The sequence below is a fragment of the Homo sapiens genome, chromosome 7 (assembly GCF_000001405.40).
Source record: "Homo sapiens chromosome 7, GRCh38.p14 Primary Assembly".
Lineage (NCBI taxonomy): Eukaryota > Metazoa > Chordata > Mammalia > Primates > Hominidae > Homo > Homo sapiens.
Window position 1 is genome coordinate 158,142,004 of NC_000007.14, and position 15,206 is coordinate 158,157,209.

General features: G+C 52.7%; 1 protein-coding gene across 14 annotated transcripts in view, besides 16 other annotated features; it reads right to left on the reverse strand.

The window, feature by feature from the left end:
- Nucleotides 1–15,206, reverse strand: part of PTPRN2 (protein tyrosine phosphatase receptor type N2) — a 1,048,768-nt gene that overhangs the window by 602,948 nt on the left and 430,614 nt on the right. The window lies entirely within an intron of this gene.
- Nucleotides 682–1,603: an enhancer, noted in NCBI's record as "H3K27ac-H3K4me1 hESC enhancer chr7:157935377-157936298 (GRCh37/hg19 assembly coordinates)". NCBI's record gives its function as "activates a minimal SCP1, AML or CMV promoter by ChIP-STARR-seq in primed H9 embryonic stem cells {active_cell/tissue: H9 hESC(primed)}" and the evidence as "EXISTENCE:reporter gene assay evidence [ECO:0000049][PMID:30033119]".
- Nucleotides 5,934–6,485: an enhancer, noted in NCBI's record as "OCT4-H3K27ac hESC enhancer chr7:157940629-157941180 (GRCh37/hg19 assembly coordinates)". NCBI's record gives its function as "activates a minimal SCP1, AML or CMV promoter by ChIP-STARR-seq in primed H9 embryonic stem cells {active_cell/tissue: H9 hESC(primed)}" and the evidence as "EXISTENCE:reporter gene assay evidence [ECO:0000049][PMID:30033119]".
- Nucleotides 6,486–7,035: an enhancer, noted in NCBI's record as "H3K27ac hESC enhancer chr7:157941181-157941730 (GRCh37/hg19 assembly coordinates)". NCBI's record gives its function as "activates a minimal SCP1, AML or CMV promoter by ChIP-STARR-seq in primed H9 embryonic stem cells {active_cell/tissue: H9 hESC(primed)}" and the evidence as "EXISTENCE:reporter gene assay evidence [ECO:0000049][PMID:30033119]".
- Nucleotides 8,060–9,572: a meiotic recombination region, noted in NCBI's record as "meiotic double-strand break mapped by DNA meiotic recombinase 1 chromatin immunoprecipitation followed by single-stranded DNA enrichment and sequencing in the germ cells of some male individuals with the PRDM9 A/A and PRDM9 A/C genotypes". NCBI's record gives the evidence for it as "EXISTENCE:chromatin immunoprecipitation-seq evidence [ECO:0000229][PMID:25395542]".
- Nucleotides 8,771–9,541: a repeat instability region, noted in NCBI's record as "repeat instability region; PstI fragment from PMID:8755922, which displays instability of the D7S22 repeat region". NCBI's record gives the evidence for it as "EXISTENCE:restriction fragment detection evidence [ECO:0001124][PMID:8755922]".
- Nucleotides 9,033–9,505: a minisatellite, noted in NCBI's record as "D7S22 (g3) VNTR, 37 nucleotide repeat".
- Nucleotides 9,147–9,159: a nucleotide motif, noted in NCBI's record as "nucleotide motif; similarity, but not exact identity (7/8 nucleotides) to the predicted 13-mer PRDM9 A binding motif (LD hotspot motif), CCNCCNTNNCCNC". NCBI's record gives the evidence for it as "COORDINATES:motif similarity evidence [ECO:0000028][PMID:19165926]".
- Nucleotides 9,184–9,196: a nucleotide motif, noted in NCBI's record as "nucleotide motif; similarity, but not exact identity (7/8 nucleotides) to the predicted 13-mer PRDM9 A binding motif (LD hotspot motif), CCNCCNTNNCCNC". NCBI's record gives the evidence for it as "COORDINATES:motif similarity evidence [ECO:0000028][PMID:19165926]".
- Nucleotides 9,220–9,232: a nucleotide motif, noted in NCBI's record as "nucleotide motif; similarity, but not exact identity (7/8 nucleotides) to the predicted 13-mer PRDM9 A binding motif (LD hotspot motif), CCNCCNTNNCCNC". NCBI's record gives the evidence for it as "COORDINATES:motif similarity evidence [ECO:0000028][PMID:19165926]".
- Nucleotides 9,257–9,269: a nucleotide motif, noted in NCBI's record as "nucleotide motif; similarity, but not exact identity (7/8 nucleotides) to the predicted 13-mer PRDM9 A binding motif (LD hotspot motif), CCNCCNTNNCCNC". NCBI's record gives the evidence for it as "COORDINATES:motif similarity evidence [ECO:0000028][PMID:19165926]".
- Nucleotides 9,294–9,306: a nucleotide motif, noted in NCBI's record as "nucleotide motif; similarity, but not exact identity (7/8 nucleotides) to the predicted 13-mer PRDM9 A binding motif (LD hotspot motif), CCNCCNTNNCCNC". NCBI's record gives the evidence for it as "COORDINATES:motif similarity evidence [ECO:0000028][PMID:19165926]".
- Nucleotides 9,330–9,342: a nucleotide motif, noted in NCBI's record as "nucleotide motif; similarity, but not exact identity (7/8 nucleotides) to the predicted 13-mer PRDM9 A binding motif (LD hotspot motif), CCNCCNTNNCCNC". NCBI's record gives the evidence for it as "COORDINATES:motif similarity evidence [ECO:0000028][PMID:19165926]".
- Nucleotides 9,367–9,379: a nucleotide motif, noted in NCBI's record as "nucleotide motif; similarity, but not exact identity (7/8 nucleotides) to the predicted 13-mer PRDM9 A binding motif (LD hotspot motif), CCNCCNTNNCCNC". NCBI's record gives the evidence for it as "COORDINATES:motif similarity evidence [ECO:0000028][PMID:19165926]".
- Nucleotides 9,404–9,416: a nucleotide motif, noted in NCBI's record as "nucleotide motif; similarity, but not exact identity (7/8 nucleotides) to the predicted 13-mer PRDM9 A binding motif (LD hotspot motif), CCNCCNTNNCCNC". NCBI's record gives the evidence for it as "COORDINATES:motif similarity evidence [ECO:0000028][PMID:19165926]".
- Nucleotides 9,441–9,453: a nucleotide motif, noted in NCBI's record as "nucleotide motif; similarity, but not exact identity (7/8 nucleotides) to the predicted 13-mer PRDM9 A binding motif (LD hotspot motif), CCNCCNTNNCCNC". NCBI's record gives the evidence for it as "COORDINATES:motif similarity evidence [ECO:0000028][PMID:19165926]".
- Nucleotides 9,478–9,490: a nucleotide motif, noted in NCBI's record as "nucleotide motif; similarity, but not exact identity (7/8 nucleotides) to the predicted 13-mer PRDM9 A binding motif (LD hotspot motif), CCNCCNTNNCCNC". NCBI's record gives the evidence for it as "COORDINATES:motif similarity evidence [ECO:0000028][PMID:19165926]".

Sequence of the window (15,206 nt, forward strand, 5' to 3'; positions counted from 1 at the left end):
CCTCTGAATTGTTCGGCAGACAGTGGCGGCTTCTTTACCTTCGGGTTGAAGTGTCCGTATTAACCCCACATTTCTGATGCTCTGACATCTGGGGCCCTGCTGACCCTGGGGGCTGCCCCTCCCACGAACAGCCAATTCCCAGATAGTGAACAGTCACCCACTCCACGCAGGCTTTCCACATGCAAACCCTGCGATCCGGAGCCCACGCCCGCCTCCGCCTCTGTGGGCTCAGACTCCAGGCCGCTGCCCTAGTCACCCTGGGGCAAGGACCAGACACGGGCAGCCCCTGGCCCCGGAGCGGCTGGAACTATTCAAGCTGGGCAGTCCTGTCCCTGACGACCCTGCCTTGCCCTCGCCCAGCCTCCGGACTGACGCTGGCGCATCCCTGTATCGACCCATGGCGTGGCCTGCCCCCTCCTCTCAAAATCTGTAAGTAACAAACTGTTGTTTCAACAGCAGCTGTACCCAGATCTCTCGGGCTTGCCGTCCTAAATCATAATGAAACCTGCCGTTTAAAACAGAAGAAGGGAAACGCAGGGATTGGCATGGAGGCCGCGTACTCTTCTGTTTTTTCATTAGCCTTGAGCCTTGGAGGGGAGGGCCAGCCTCCCTTCGCCACACCCCCAGGGCCCACCAACCCCCACACATCAGCCCTCACCATGCATTCACTGATGGAATGCTACCTTCAAAGAAAGCTTCCAGCAACAAACTCAGGAAAATACATCTCACTTTCTCACAAACAAAAACATGCCTAAAACCGCAGCAAAGCCTGCCTTCACCGCTACTCCTGTCTGCAGGTGACAAAGGGCTGAAGGGCTGGACAGTCCCAGGTCAACGGCACCCATGCCCCAGCTCCTTCCACGCTGACAGGCTCACGTTGTTTCACAGAGAAGATAAAAGATGTGCTCCGGAATTAAAGGTGCGTGTATACCACAGCCCTCGGTGCTGTTTTGAAAATGTGCTGCTCATTGCAGCTTTCAGAATCAGAAGAGCCATCTCAGCCTCGCAACCGAGCCACCGAGCCACGAGCCCAGAGCAACCTTTTCATTCTCATTCACTGCAGTCTCCTCCCACCACAGATCTTTTTCTTTCCCAGCGATTATCATCGCGACAGTCTTATCTCGCTCGTCCACGTCCACAGGTCCAATGCTGGCAACAAAGGGCTCACTCATCCCAAAGAAAATGGAAATAAGGAAGTGCAGGGATCGGGAGGAAGAGCTGTGTCTGGAAAAGTAGGCGGCCACAGGCAAGAGCCTGAGTTCTGAAGGGTCCCGGGCTCCACCAGGCGGAGCCCAGAAAACTAACAGCCCCAGAGAACTGGCAGGAGGCACCGGAGCCTGCGGCAGGAACCGGCACAGCTGCAGGGAGACCTGAAGGGCCCTCGGCATTGGGCATGGCTGTCCCCAGCAGTCGGCGTCCTCCGTGCTTAGGAGGCGAGGGATGTCTCCACACATGCCTGCACTAGCCAAGATGTGTGTCAGAGTCGGCCCGGCCATAGCTCACGGTGGACACCAGTCCCCGTGATGGAATTTCATCGGAGGGAAAGAAACAGGGAGGTGAGGAATGAGTGGTGGTTGCTAAGGAAAGGTCCTTCCTGTGGACACGAACCAATGAACACAGGCTCGGCTGCCCAGCGGCCTCCTCATCAGGTGAGTGGGGCAGGAGGGCCCCAGAGTAACGACCTGACCAGAGGCCTCGTCTGGGGCAAAGTCCATTATTTCTGATGTCACGATTCGCAGGAAGTGGCAGGGCCTCCAAGTGTGGTAGAACAATTCACTTCCAAGTCCAAAGATCCCTTCTGCCCTCCCAAAAGGACAAAAGGACTCTCCACACACTAGCTTGGCACAGCAGGCACCACAAGGCCTGGGAGCCTCCACCTGCATCTGTAGACACCGCCTTCCTGAGCTCCCAGGCAGCAGAGTGGCCACCGTCCCCCCCGCAGCCGGAGCTCCCCAGGACTGCAGCCCCGGGCCACCACCTGCCCAGACGACCCCACTGCAGCTCCAGAGAAGGTGACGTGGTCCGTGCGGGGACAAGTTTGGGACAGAGTTCCATTAACCGTTCTTCTGCAAGGCCCTGTGTTTCCTAAGGGGGCTGAAAAGCTGGTTGTGATATTTTGACAAATGGTGAGAGAATAAAAATCATGTGACTTCTCAATAAAGAAGGTTAAATGTTCTCGAATTCGGCATTTCCAGTGAAAATGAATCATGTTTTGCCATACTGATCCACAAATAAACTTTTCTGAGCCCCCCAAGGTTTATAAAAATGATGTGCACAGGCCAGGGTATTCAATTCAGAGTGGCTACAGTGTTGCCAGCAGGAAAATGCCAAAAGAAAGAGAAAGCAGACATCAGCCGGACGCGGTGGCTCACACCCGTAATCCCAGCACTTTGGGAGGCCAAGGTGGGCGGATTTCTTGAGCCTAGGAGTTGGAGACCAGCCTGAGCAATATAGTGAAACTCCATCTCTACTAAAAATACCAAAAATTAGCTGGGCATGGTGTCAGGCGCCTGTAATCCCAGCTATGCAGGAGACTAAACCAGGAGAATTGCTTGAACCTTGGGGGTGGAGGTTGCAGTGAGCTAAGATTGTGCCACTGCACTCCAGCCTGGGCGATAGAGCGAGAGAAGGGGAAGGGGAAGGGGAAGGAGAAGGGGGACATCAGCAGGCATCCCGGGGTGGAGCGCTCACCCTCTCCCTCCAGGGCAGGCTGGCGCTTCTCCCACCACCCCGAGGGAAGAGGCTGCGGTCTGTGTTTCTAACAGCAAACACCGTCACTGTCAACACTGATGAGTCCTGCTTAACACAAAGACAGGTGTGTCGACCCACCCTGAACTTTGCAAAATGATGCTTATTCCCCTCTCAAACCCACACAGAGGCCAAGTGCCTGCTCTGAAGGAGGAACTGAACAGCAAGCCACGTCTCCAGAATGCCACGGCTCGGCAAGACTTCCCTCACATCATCGCAAGAAGGTTCCAGAATACCACGGCTCGGCAAGACTTCCCTCACATCATCGCGAGAAGGTTCCAGAATACCACGGCTCGGCAAGGTTTCCCTCACATCATCGCGAGAAGGTTCCAGAATACCACGGCTCGGCAAGGTTTCCCTCACATCATCGCGAGAAGGTTCCAGAATACCACGGCTCGGCAAGACTTCCCTCACATCATCGTGAGAAGGTTCCAGAATACCACAGCTCGGCAAGGTTTCCCTCACATCACGGTGAGAAGGTTCCAGAATACCACGGCTTGGCAAGACTTCCCTCACATCATCGCGAGAAGGTTCCAGAATACCACAGCTTGGCAAGGTTTCCCTCACATCACGGTGAGAAGGTTCCAGAATACCACGGCTTGGCAAGACTTCCCTCACATCATCGTGAGAAGGGGCGGCAGTGCCCGGTACAGCGTGGTACAGTGAGCGCCACACTCAACCATATGAACAGCCTACTTGTATCGACAGAGAGCAGCTGGGAATGTAGAGTTTGGGGAACTGGCAGGCATCCACCCTTGAGAAACTGAGGCTCCATGGTGGACCAGGAAGGGAGGAAGAAATGGCAACGTGAGCAGAAAGGCCATCAGGCACGGCGGGAAAGCCAGAGCACCCTGGCCAGACGCGGCCAGGCTTGGCGTGGAGCTGCCAGTACTGAACCAACAGGGGCTCCCCTGCCGTGGCTGCAGCTGCCTGCACACTTTCTCAGGCCTGATTATTCTAGAATCTGTAGGGTGTTAGCTCACATTTCTTTTTCCATCATTGCAGCTAGGACCTTAGACACATTTAAAGTTCCCATCAATCCGATCATCCATCCTTGTGCTGCCCTGCCCTGGGGGATGCCAGGCTGGACTCCCATGAAGAAAGGCTGACCATGCTCCCGGAGTCTTGGCCCCAGCGCTCATGGTCTGTGGTTTGGGGCAAGCTCGCTCATTTCTTCATGCCTCAGTTTCCATATCTGTAAAATGGTGACAAGTGAGGCATGGGCCCAGCATACTGTAAGTGCTTAATAAATTATAACTATTATCATGAAACAAGGAGAGGATGAGAAATCATTTTAGTTTTCCACTCTTTTCCCCCTTTCCCATCCATTCTGAAAACAAATACTTGGTTCTCCATGAGAAGCTCTCGCCACAGCTCATTGTGATCCTCAGGTGAGAAGTGAGGAACACAGTCAGAGAGCCCCTTAGATGCTCAGTCACACAAGCTGACAGGCACCTTCCAACTTGCTCAAGATCTAATTCAAGATTATGCATTTTGAAACTATTTTCTGCCAAAATATTAACCAAAATGTTAACCTATATTTAAAAAAATATGAACCTCTCATTAAAGTCAAAGCCCAGTCTCCGTCCATCCCTCCACCCACTAACCTACCCATTGATTGCACCAACCTGTATTGGGCATCTATTGTGATCAAAGCCTGGGAACAAACATTATTCTAAGAAATAATAGGCTGGGCTTGGTGGCTCACACCTGTAATCCCAGCACTTTGGGACGCTGAGGCATGCGGATCACGAGGTCAGGAGATCAAGACCATCCTGACTAACATGGTGAAACCCCATCTCTACTAAAAATACAAAAAATTAGCCAGGCGTGGTGGCGGGCGCCTGTAGTCCCAGCTACTCAGGAGCCTGAGGCAGAAGAATGGTGTGAACCCAGGAGGCGGAGCTAGTAGTGAGCTGAGATCGCGCCACTGCACTCCAGCCTGGGCGACAGAGCGAGACTCTGCCTCAAAAAAAAAAAAAAAGAAAGAAAAAAGAAACAATAGAAAATTAAAAGCTTCATTTTCTTGAGGGCTACAACATTGTTCTCACACCAGCACAGACACACTAAAATGTTTTGGAGGCCAGAGAGACTTGACCAATGGATAGAACAAGCAAACAGTTTACAGGGAAAATACACCATTAAGATCCTGTGAAGAGACTGAATGACACCCCATCTCACGCCACGTGTCTTTCCCCCTCAATGACACCCCATCTCACGCCACGTGTCTTTCCCCCTCAATGACACCCCATCTCACGCCACGTGTCTTTCCCCCTCAATGACACCCCATCTCACGCCACGTGTCTTTCCCCCTCAATGACACCCCATCTCACGCCACGTGTCTTTCCCCCTCAATGACACCCCATCTCACGCCACGTGTCTTTCCCCCTCAATGACACCCCATCTCACGCCACGTGTCTTTCCCCCTCAATGACACCCCATCTCACGCCACGTGTCTTTCCCCCTCAATGACACCCCATCTCACGCCACGTGTCTTTCCCCTTCAATGACACCCCATCTCACGCCACGTGTCTTTCCCCTTCAATGACACCCCATCTCATGCCACGTGTCTTTCCCCCTCACCGACACCCCATCTCACGCCACGTATCTTTCCCCCTCAATGACACCCCATCTCACGCCACGTGTCTTTCCCCTTCAATGACACCCCATCTCATGCCACACGTCTTTCCCCCTCAATGACACCCCATCTCACACCACGTGTCTTTCCCCCTCACTGACACCCCATCTCACGCCACAGGTCTTTCCCCCTCACTGACACCCCATCTCACGCCACGTGTCATTCCCCCTCACTGACACCCCATCTCACGCCACGTGTCTTTCCCCCTCAATGACACCCCATCTCACGCCACGTGTCTTTCCCCCTCAATGACACCCCATCTCATGCCACGTGTCTTTCCCCCTCACTGACACCCCATCTCACGCCACACGTCTTTCCCCCTCACTGACACCCCATCTCACGCCACGTGTCTTTCCCCCTCAATGACACCCCACCTCACGCCACGTGTTATTCCCCCTCACTGACACCCCATTTCACGCCACACGTCTTTCCCCCTCAATGACACCCCATCTCACGCCACGTGTCTTTCCCCTTCAATGACACCCCATCTCACGCCACGTGTCTTTCCCCCTCACTGACACCCCATCTCACGCCACGTGTCTTTCCCCCTCAATGACACCCCATCTCACGCCAGGTGTCTTTCCCCCTCAATGACACACCATCTCACGCCACGTGTCTTTCCCCCTCAATGACACCCCATCTCACGCCACGTGTCTTTCCCCCTCAATGACACCCCATCTCACGCCACGTGTCTTTCCCCCTCAATGACACCCCATGTCACGCCACGTGTCTTTCCCCCTCAATGACACCCCATCTCACGCCACGTGTCTTTCCCCCTCAATGACACCCCATCTCACGCCACGTGTCTTTCCCCCTCAATGACACCCCATCTCACGCCACGTGTCTTTCCCCCTCAATGACACCCCATCTCACGCCACGTGTCTTTCCCCCTCAATGACACCCCATCTCACGCCACGTGTCTTTCCCCCTCAATGACACCCCATCTCACGCCACGTGTCTTTCCCCCTCACTGACACCCCATCTCACGCCACGTGTCTTTCCCCCTCAATGACACCCCATCTCACGCCACGTGTCTTTCCCCTTCAATGACACCCCATCTCATGCCACACGTCTTTCCCCCTCAATGACACCCCATCTCACGCCACGTGTCTTTCCCCCTCACTGACACCCCATCTCACGCCACAGGTCTTTCCCCCTCACTGACACCCCATCTCACGCCACATGTCTTTCCCCCTCACTGACACCCCATCTCACGCCACGTGTCTTTCCCCCTCACTGACACCCCATCTCACGCCACGTGTCTTTCCCCCTCAATGACACCCCATCTCACGCCACATGCCTTTCCCCCTCAATGACACCCCATCTCACGCCACGTGTCTTTCCCCTTCAATGACACCCCATCTCACGCCACGTGTCTTTCCCCCTCAATGACACCCCATCTCACGCCACGTGTCTTTCCCCCTCAATGACACCCCATCTCACGCCACGTGTCTTTCCCCCTCAAGGACACCCCATCTCACGCCACGTGTCTTTCCCCCTCAATGACACCCCATCTCACGCCACGTGTCTTTCCCCCTCAATGACACCCCATCTCACGCCACGTGTCTTTCCCCTTCAATGACACCCCATCTCACGCCACACATCTTTCCCCCTCAATGACATCCCATCTCACGCCACGTGTCTTTCCCTCTCACTGACACCCCATCTCATGCCACGTGTCATTCCCCCTCACTGACACCCCATCTCACGCCACACGTCTTTCCCCCTCAATGACACCCCATCTCACGCCACGTGTCTTTCCCCCTCAGTGACACCCCATCTCACGCCACACGTCTTTCCTCCTCAAGTGCACGAGTGTCTGGGCTGACCTGCTCTCCAAGCTGGCACCAATTATAGTACAGGGAACCCAATTTCCAACCAAAAGACCTCCAAACTTTTATAAAGCAATGTCATCAATGTGTAAATCACTGCCTATATTTAACCCCTGGAAATTAACAACTACATTGACATAAACTTAAATCTAACCAGTGTCTTTTCAGTATAAACTCTTAAAACATAAAATGTATAAGATGTTACCTTTTCTCAAGAGGTAAAAAAAAAAAAAAATCCTTATTTTTAATCTCTAACAAAGGCAATCCAATTAACTCACTGATTTTTAAAAAGATAAGCCCGGCTGGGCGCAGTGGCTCATGCCTGTAATCCCAGCACTTTGGGGTCCGAGGTGGGTGGATCACCTGAGGTCAGGAGTTCGAGACCAGCCTGGCCAACATGGTGGAAACCCCATCTCTACTAAAAATACAAAAATGACCCAGGCGTGGTGGCGCATGCCTGTAGTCCCAGCTACTCAGGAGGCTAAGGCAGGAGAATTGCTTGAACATGGGAGACGGAGGTTGCGGTGAGCTGAGATTGTGCCATTGCACTCCAGCCTGAGTGACAGAGCAAGAGTCCATCTCAAAAAAAAAAAAAAGATAAACCCAAGTGATGTCTCTTGAAAAAACAAAAAAATTACTGTGGAATTTTTGGGATCTAAGTTATGCTGAACAAAAAGTGGCAAGAATATATTTTAAATTTAATATAAAATAAATAAAACATATGAAAAATAAAAATAGAAAGTAAGCAACACAATTCTTTGCTGTTTGTTAAGCCTCATTACAGACACATCAGATTTAGGTGGCGTAGTGTGGCATCAAGGGCATGAATGATAAGAAAACAGAGTCATCTGAGGGAAGAGGCCGTGGGGCAGAAGGCTGCCGTGGGTGTTCTGCTGAGCTCTGAAGCTTGGCCGGCAACAATGCTGTTCCCTGCAGGCTCCTGTTGCCTCAAGCGGGGCAGTGTGTGTGAGACCCACCTTCATGCTTCAGGAACACTGGCCAAGGCAGAAAAATAGATGGATGTATTCATGAGAGATTTTTAAACAAGTTGAATCCAGGCTGTTTCTGCTAAAGGCTAACGTAACCAGAACATTCAGCTGACAAGCATGTTCCATTTCTGAGTACCTGGGCTCACCAAGGGTGTACCCCAGTCTCCGCCCTCCACATGCAGGGCTGAGATGTCCACCCTCAGCAGCTCGAAAAGTGGCAGCTCTGCCGCCCTGACCTGGCACTGACGCAGCAGGCGGATGTTCCTGTGTCCCCTGCACTGACCTTCACTGCAAAGCTAACCCAGGTGAGTCCCAGTATTCACCAGCTCCTGGAGCCCAGAAACAAGTGGGCATTTCTAGAAGGTCAAGGAGCATCTATATGGAAAGACCTTTTCTCCTTAAGATCTCGGTGTCATCTCCTGCCCCTCTAATTCCACCCTTGTGAACATAACCCAGGGGGGTCACTGAGGTGAGATCTGTCATGCAGAGGGAAGAATGTGGGTGATCATGGTGATCTGCAAAGCTCTCTTCTTTCCTGGTCTGTGAGACGCTGCGTATCTGCAGCACCGCGACCCAGCACTCCTCTCCCTCCGTGTCCTGTGAACTCTCCCATGATGGTTGCACCCCAGCCACTCTGGCCTCCTTTCTGTTCTTCCAACCCAACGTGCTGGTGGAATTATCCTACTGGTTTGCAGCAAATGGGCCCCACACAACACCGAGAAGCTGGGAAATATTATTCTGTGCATCCCACCCTGCTTACAGCAATGTCTGTTCCTCTCAGCACCTCATGCTGCCTCCTATGCGGGAAGCCAGGCCCTGTCACTGTCCTGCCCCTGCCTGCCCACACTGCCCGCCTTTCCACTCTTGCCCCTGCCTGCCCAAACCGCCCGCCTTTCTGCTCCTACCCCTGCCCACACCGCCCGCCTTTCTATTCCTGCCTCTCCCTGCCCACACCGCCCGCCTTTCTGCTCCTGCCTCTCCCTGCCCACACCACCCACCTTCTATTCCTGCCTCTCCCTGCCCACACTGCTCACCTTTCTATTCCTGCCTCTCCCTGCCCACACCGCCCGCCTTTCTGCTCCTGCCTCTCCCTGCCCACACCGCCCACCTTCTATTCCTGCCTCTCCCTGCCCACACCGCCCGCCTTTCTGCTCCTGCCTCTCCCTGCCCACACCGCCCGCCTTTCTATTCCTGCCTCTCCCTGCCCACACCGCCCGCCTTTCTATTCCTGCCTCTCCCTGCCCACACCACCCGCCTTTCTATTCCTGCCTCTCCCTGCCCACACCGCCCGCCTTTCTGCTCCTCACCGCACGTCCTACTCCAGGCGATCTGCAGGCAGCCTCTTACTCTGCCTGTGGTGGGGTGGTGGTGGTGGGTGGTATGAGCCACGCCCTCCCCTTCAGGGACAGATGAGAGCTTCAGGAGGTGAAATACTCCCCCGCCCCCTCCTTCTTCCCTCTTGTTTCCTTTCCCTTCTTTCTTCCTTCTCCCCAATCTTCCTCCCTCCCTCCCTTGCTAGCTGCATTCTTTCCTTCCTTCCTGCCACAAATATTTACTGCACATCTCCTTTGCACCAGCTACCTTTGAAGGCGCAGAGATAAATCCATGAGCAAAGTCCTTGCTTTTGTGTGACTTCCATCTATGTTAGAAGGAACAGGAAACAAATAAAAACCATGAATGCGGCCGGGCGCGGTGGCTCACGCCTGTAATCCCAGCACTTTGGGAGGCCGAGGCGGGTGGATCACAAGGTCAGGAGATCAAGACCATCCTGGCTAACATGGTGAAACCCCGTCTCTACTAAAAATACAAAAAAATTAGCCGGGCGTGGTGGCAGACGCCTGTAGTCCCAGCTACTCAGGAGGCTGAGGCAGGAGAATGGTGTGAACCCGGGAGGCGGAGCTTGCAGTGAGCCGAGATCACGCCACTGCACTCCAGCCTGGGTGAAAGAGTGAGACTCTGTCTCAAAAAAAAAAAAAAAAAACCATGAATGCACAGAATATGTGGTGGTGATTGATGCTGCGAAGAAATAACCCAGAGTATGAAGGATCGGGGGCTGGAGCACTGCTCTTTCATACCGCACTGCCAGAGAAAGCCTCATTGAGAAGGTGAAGTTTCAGCAGAGGCCTGAGGGAGGTGAGCATGGGCCTAGTGGGGCCTGGGAAGCTGTCTTCAGGCAGGAGTAGCAGTGAGCACTAAGGCCGTGGGCAGAAGCTGCCTGGCGTGTTGGGTTGGAAGAACAGACAGGAGGCCAAAGTGTCCAGAATGCAGCCCCACGTGGAGAGTTCACAGTGATATGGGAGTGCTGGGAAGGGGAGAGCTGGTCCCTTTAAATGATATAGAAGTGTGAAGGGAAGTGCTGGGTTGAGGAAGGCAGGTCCCTGGCTGGGGCTCCATCTCCACAGACCTAGGTGAGGACAGGCACTCCTGCCTTCACCACCAAATGCTGCATTTCCCAAGACCACCCTGGCCCCTACCACACTCCCATCCTGTGCCTATAAAAACCCCCAAGACCCTGGCAGGCACACACACAAGTGGCTGGATGTCAAGAGGAGCACGTTGGCAAAAGAGCAGACCAACAGACACCAGCATGCCAGCAGGCCACCGACTGGTGGGACAAGAGCAGACCGACAGACACCAGCACGCCAGCAGGCCACCAACCAGTGGGACAAGAGCAGACCAACAGACACCAGCACGCCAGCAGGCCACCGACTGATGGGATAAGAGCAGACTGACAGACACCAGCACGCCAGCAGGCCACCAACCAGTGGGACAAGAGCAGACCGACAGACACCAGCATGCCAGCAGGCCACCGACTGGGGGGACAAGAGCAGACCGACAGACACCAGCACGCCAGCAGGCCACCGACTGGGGGGACAAGAGCAGACCGACAGACACCAGCATACCATCGACCAGCGGAACGATGCCGAGTGTGGCCGGGGCAGTCTGAGGAGAGCCCAGGCCATCAAGCATTCGGACTCCAGGGGAAAATCATCTCCCTTCTGGCTCCCCCATCTGCTGAGAGCTACTTCTACTCAAAACAACCTTGCACTTACTCTCCAAGCCCACATATGATCTGATTCTTCCAGTACACTAAGGCAAGAACCCAGCATTCAGAAAGCCCTCTGTCCTTGTGATAAGGAAGGGGTCTGATTGAGCTGACTAACACAAGCCACCTATAGACGGCAAAATTAAAGGAGCGAAACCAAAAGAGCACCCTGTAACACATGCCCACTGGGGCTTTAGGAGCTGTAAACATTCACCCCTAGACACTGCCATGGGGTCTGAGCCCACAGCCCACCCGTCTGTCAGCTCCCCTAGAGGTTTGAGCAGCGGGGCACTGAAGAAGCGAGCCACTCCCCCATCGCACGCCCTGTGAGGGGAATAAGGGAACTTTTCCCGTTTCAACAGGACACGGAGGGAGAGGAGTGGTGGGTGGGGGTGCCACAGATATGCAGGGTCTTGCAGACCAGGCAAACAGCTTTGATTTTTACTGAGTGTGATGAGAAGCCCGTGGTGTGCTCTGAGCAGTGGGATATCATCTGATTGACAAATTTACAAGAACCACTCTGCAGGCCTGAGACAAGGTCAGAGGCAGGAGGCCAGGTCTGGTCAGATCTGGTTAGGGGTGGTGGTCGGGGGGACAGAGAGCAGCCGGCTGGTGGGGAGGAGGGGGCACCCTGGGTGTGCTCGCTCGGAAGGCAGGTACAGCAGGGTCTGCCAACAGACTGGACATGGGGGGACAGAAAGAAAAGGACCTAAATGGATAGTGGCCCCACAGCCATGCTGTAGGAACCATGGGAGGGTTCGTTCAAGGTGTGGGGTCCGGGCTGGGCTGGGAGGCCCTCAGGAGCCCGGCAGGCACCCACACTGCCATGTTTGGTCTTGTGCCAGTGCAGGTGGGATGAGAGTCCTGCTGGTCACAGGCAGGGAATGTCAGGGCAGAAACCCTAAAAGATTCACTGCCTTCCAGAAAAGGCAGCGTAACGCAGAGACAGGTGTTCTCCGGAGTCAGCCAAACCGGGCTCAAACTCCACCCCACCATTCACCACAGTTGGGACTCGGGGAAACCCATCCAGCCTCTTCCAGCCTCATGAGCCCTCTGTGTGAAACTGAATCAATAACTCCCACTCGAATGGGTTGCTGAGAAAATGAAATATAGTAAGTGTGTTGTCTACTACCTGCTAATGCTCAGTATTTGTTGACAGGAAGTTGTGTCCCCTCTTCTAACACCGCTGTAACATTTAACAACTCAGAAAAACTCTCTCTTATGGCTGCTACGCATCCCTTTTCCTTTGACTCCCTTTGGTTCGAGTCTTGTTAAATGGATGGGAGAGCAGAAATACAACTGCCCTGAAATAAAACTTCATGTTCTTTATGGTAAAGATCAGAGAACAGGAGGCATTTTCAGTGGGCCTCTTAGAATCACTATAATAGGAAACATCCACCTTCAAAATGGAATAATAAAGTACAATTCCAAAAACTACTTCCCCTCATCTGAAAAAGAAACTTTTTAGGTTATCATTAATGAAAAATAACTTTAAAAAAAATCATAAGTATATAAGAGAAAATTCTAAGTTGCTGGGCAGCTTATGGGAGAACAGTTAATGCATACTAGGGATCCCCTCCCATGTAACCTCTACAAACCACACACACAGCATTTTATGAACATGCTGAGTTATCTCAGAAGCATCCACTACCTGCCATTTGAAGATGAAGAGAAATGAGGAAGTATGTTTTGCAGCATCCAGTGAGCCCTGGTGGGTTGAAGAAGGGCGGCAGCACAGAGCACAGATAACAAGAATATCAAAGTAAAACGTTGTGTTCCATCAACTGCACCACGTAATTCTGCAATCTGGCCAGTTCATAATGACATTTTAAGTAGCTTTCAGTGCTCCAACTGGGCTCTCATAAGGCAATTACACAAAATGTCAGGATATTAAATGTGTAAAGCCTGGAGTAAGAGATCAGCTCACATGACTCTGCATTCTCAACTGCCACAGCCAGGCCTATTGAAATTATATGTCATTGTAGGGCCTTCCAAACAAAATGGTACAAGCTTTAAACAATCAGCAACAGCCTGCAGATAACCTCGCCACAACATTGTTTTCACAAAGACAATGGGAATCATGCACAACAGCTTTTGCTCCTAAGTGCCTTTACAACCATGTATATATGAAGGTACACAGTTAGCCACATCTGAACACCCATCATCACCATCAGTAGCACCACCATCACCAACACCATCATCACCATCATCATCACCATCACCATCATCATCACCATCACCATCATCACCAATGCCATCATCACCATCACCATCAGCACTATCATCACCATCAACACCATCATCATCATTGCCATCATCACCATCACCATCATCACCATCATCATCACCATCACCATCAACACTATCATCACCATCATCACCACCGTCATCATTGCCATCATCACCATCACCAGTGCCATCATCACCATCACCATCAGCACTATCATCACCGTCAACACCATCATCACCATCACCATCATCACCATCATCACCATCACCATCATCATCACCATCAACACTATCATTACCATCATCAACACCATCATCATCACCACCATCATCACCATCACCCACCATCATGGGGAATGGACTGTGCTCCTTTGGTTTAGAGGACATACAGCCCATTTAATTGCTGGGGTCCAAAACTTGGGTATTTGCAGAGGATTCAGGTAAATTCAGTAGGAGCTCATTATCGCATTCTCTCCTCATTTGGGCTTCCACAGGGAGAAACTGACATAATCATATGCCAGCATGTTGTCTATTTTCACTGGAAACAACACAAGTGTAGTAAAATATATTCTGCTTCCAATATGAGGGGGTAAGGAATCACAGCTGAGTAGTGTGCATCTCTCCCTGACTAATGAAAAGTGCCCATGCTGCAGCCTGGGATGAAGCTTCTCCTGCACTGTCATGCCGCAATATTTTGCACTCACAGGGCTCAGCATTCACCCAGTCTGACACTTTCTCTATTGAATGCAATACTGAGGCAAAGAAGAAAAAAATATATCCAATTAGCTCTGGCATTAATGACATGACTTCAGTGGGGTGTGGGGATTGGCAGTCAAATGGCTTTCTAAAGACTGCTTCCTTTAGGTTCATGTTAGTGTGAGTTTGCACACTCAGAACGTGAACTGACGGACGACAGGTAACGCAGCTCACCGTGGACTGGGTGGCAGGTAAGACCAGAAGAGAAAATGTTTTACAGATGTCAGAGGGTTGGGACTTCGGAGCTGCCCACATTCGCTAAATGAGCTAAGCCGACATCTGCAGAAACGCCCTCGTAATGGGAACAGTTACCTCGAAAAGTTCTAGAAATGCCGGTGGAGAGGGCAGGTGAACACACAGCTGCAGTCAGACGCTCGGCATGATCAGACCCAAAGCAAACCAACTGCTGCATAGAACGCCCTGGGGCTTCGAGCCCCCAGTTCCAGCCTGTGACGCACTCACCCGTGGGAAGGGGAAAGGCTCCCCCAGTGCCTTCCCTACACCTGCCCTGTGCCCTCAGAGCGGAAGCATCACCATGTAATCAGCGGTCTCCATTAACCACCAGCGTTCAGGTTGGAACTGGGGAGATTTGGAAAAGTGACAGGAAGGATGACATCATATGCAGAGGATGCTTATACAGCGGAGAGCACCCCTGTTCCATGTGGCTCTGGAAGGCCTCCCCATTGTGCTAACACAGCGGACAGCACCCCTGTACCATGTGGCTCTGGAAGGCCTCCCCATTGTGCTAACACAGTGGAGAGCACCCCTGTTCCATGTGGCTCTGAAAGGCCTACCCATTGTGCTTACACAGCGGACAGCACCCCCGTTCCATGTAGCTCTGGAAGGCCTCCCCATTGTGCTTACACAGCGGACAGCACGCCTGTTCCATGTGGCTCTGGAAGGCCTCCCCATTGTGCTAACACAGCAGAGAGCACCCCTGTTCCATGTGGCTCTGGAAGGCCTCCCCC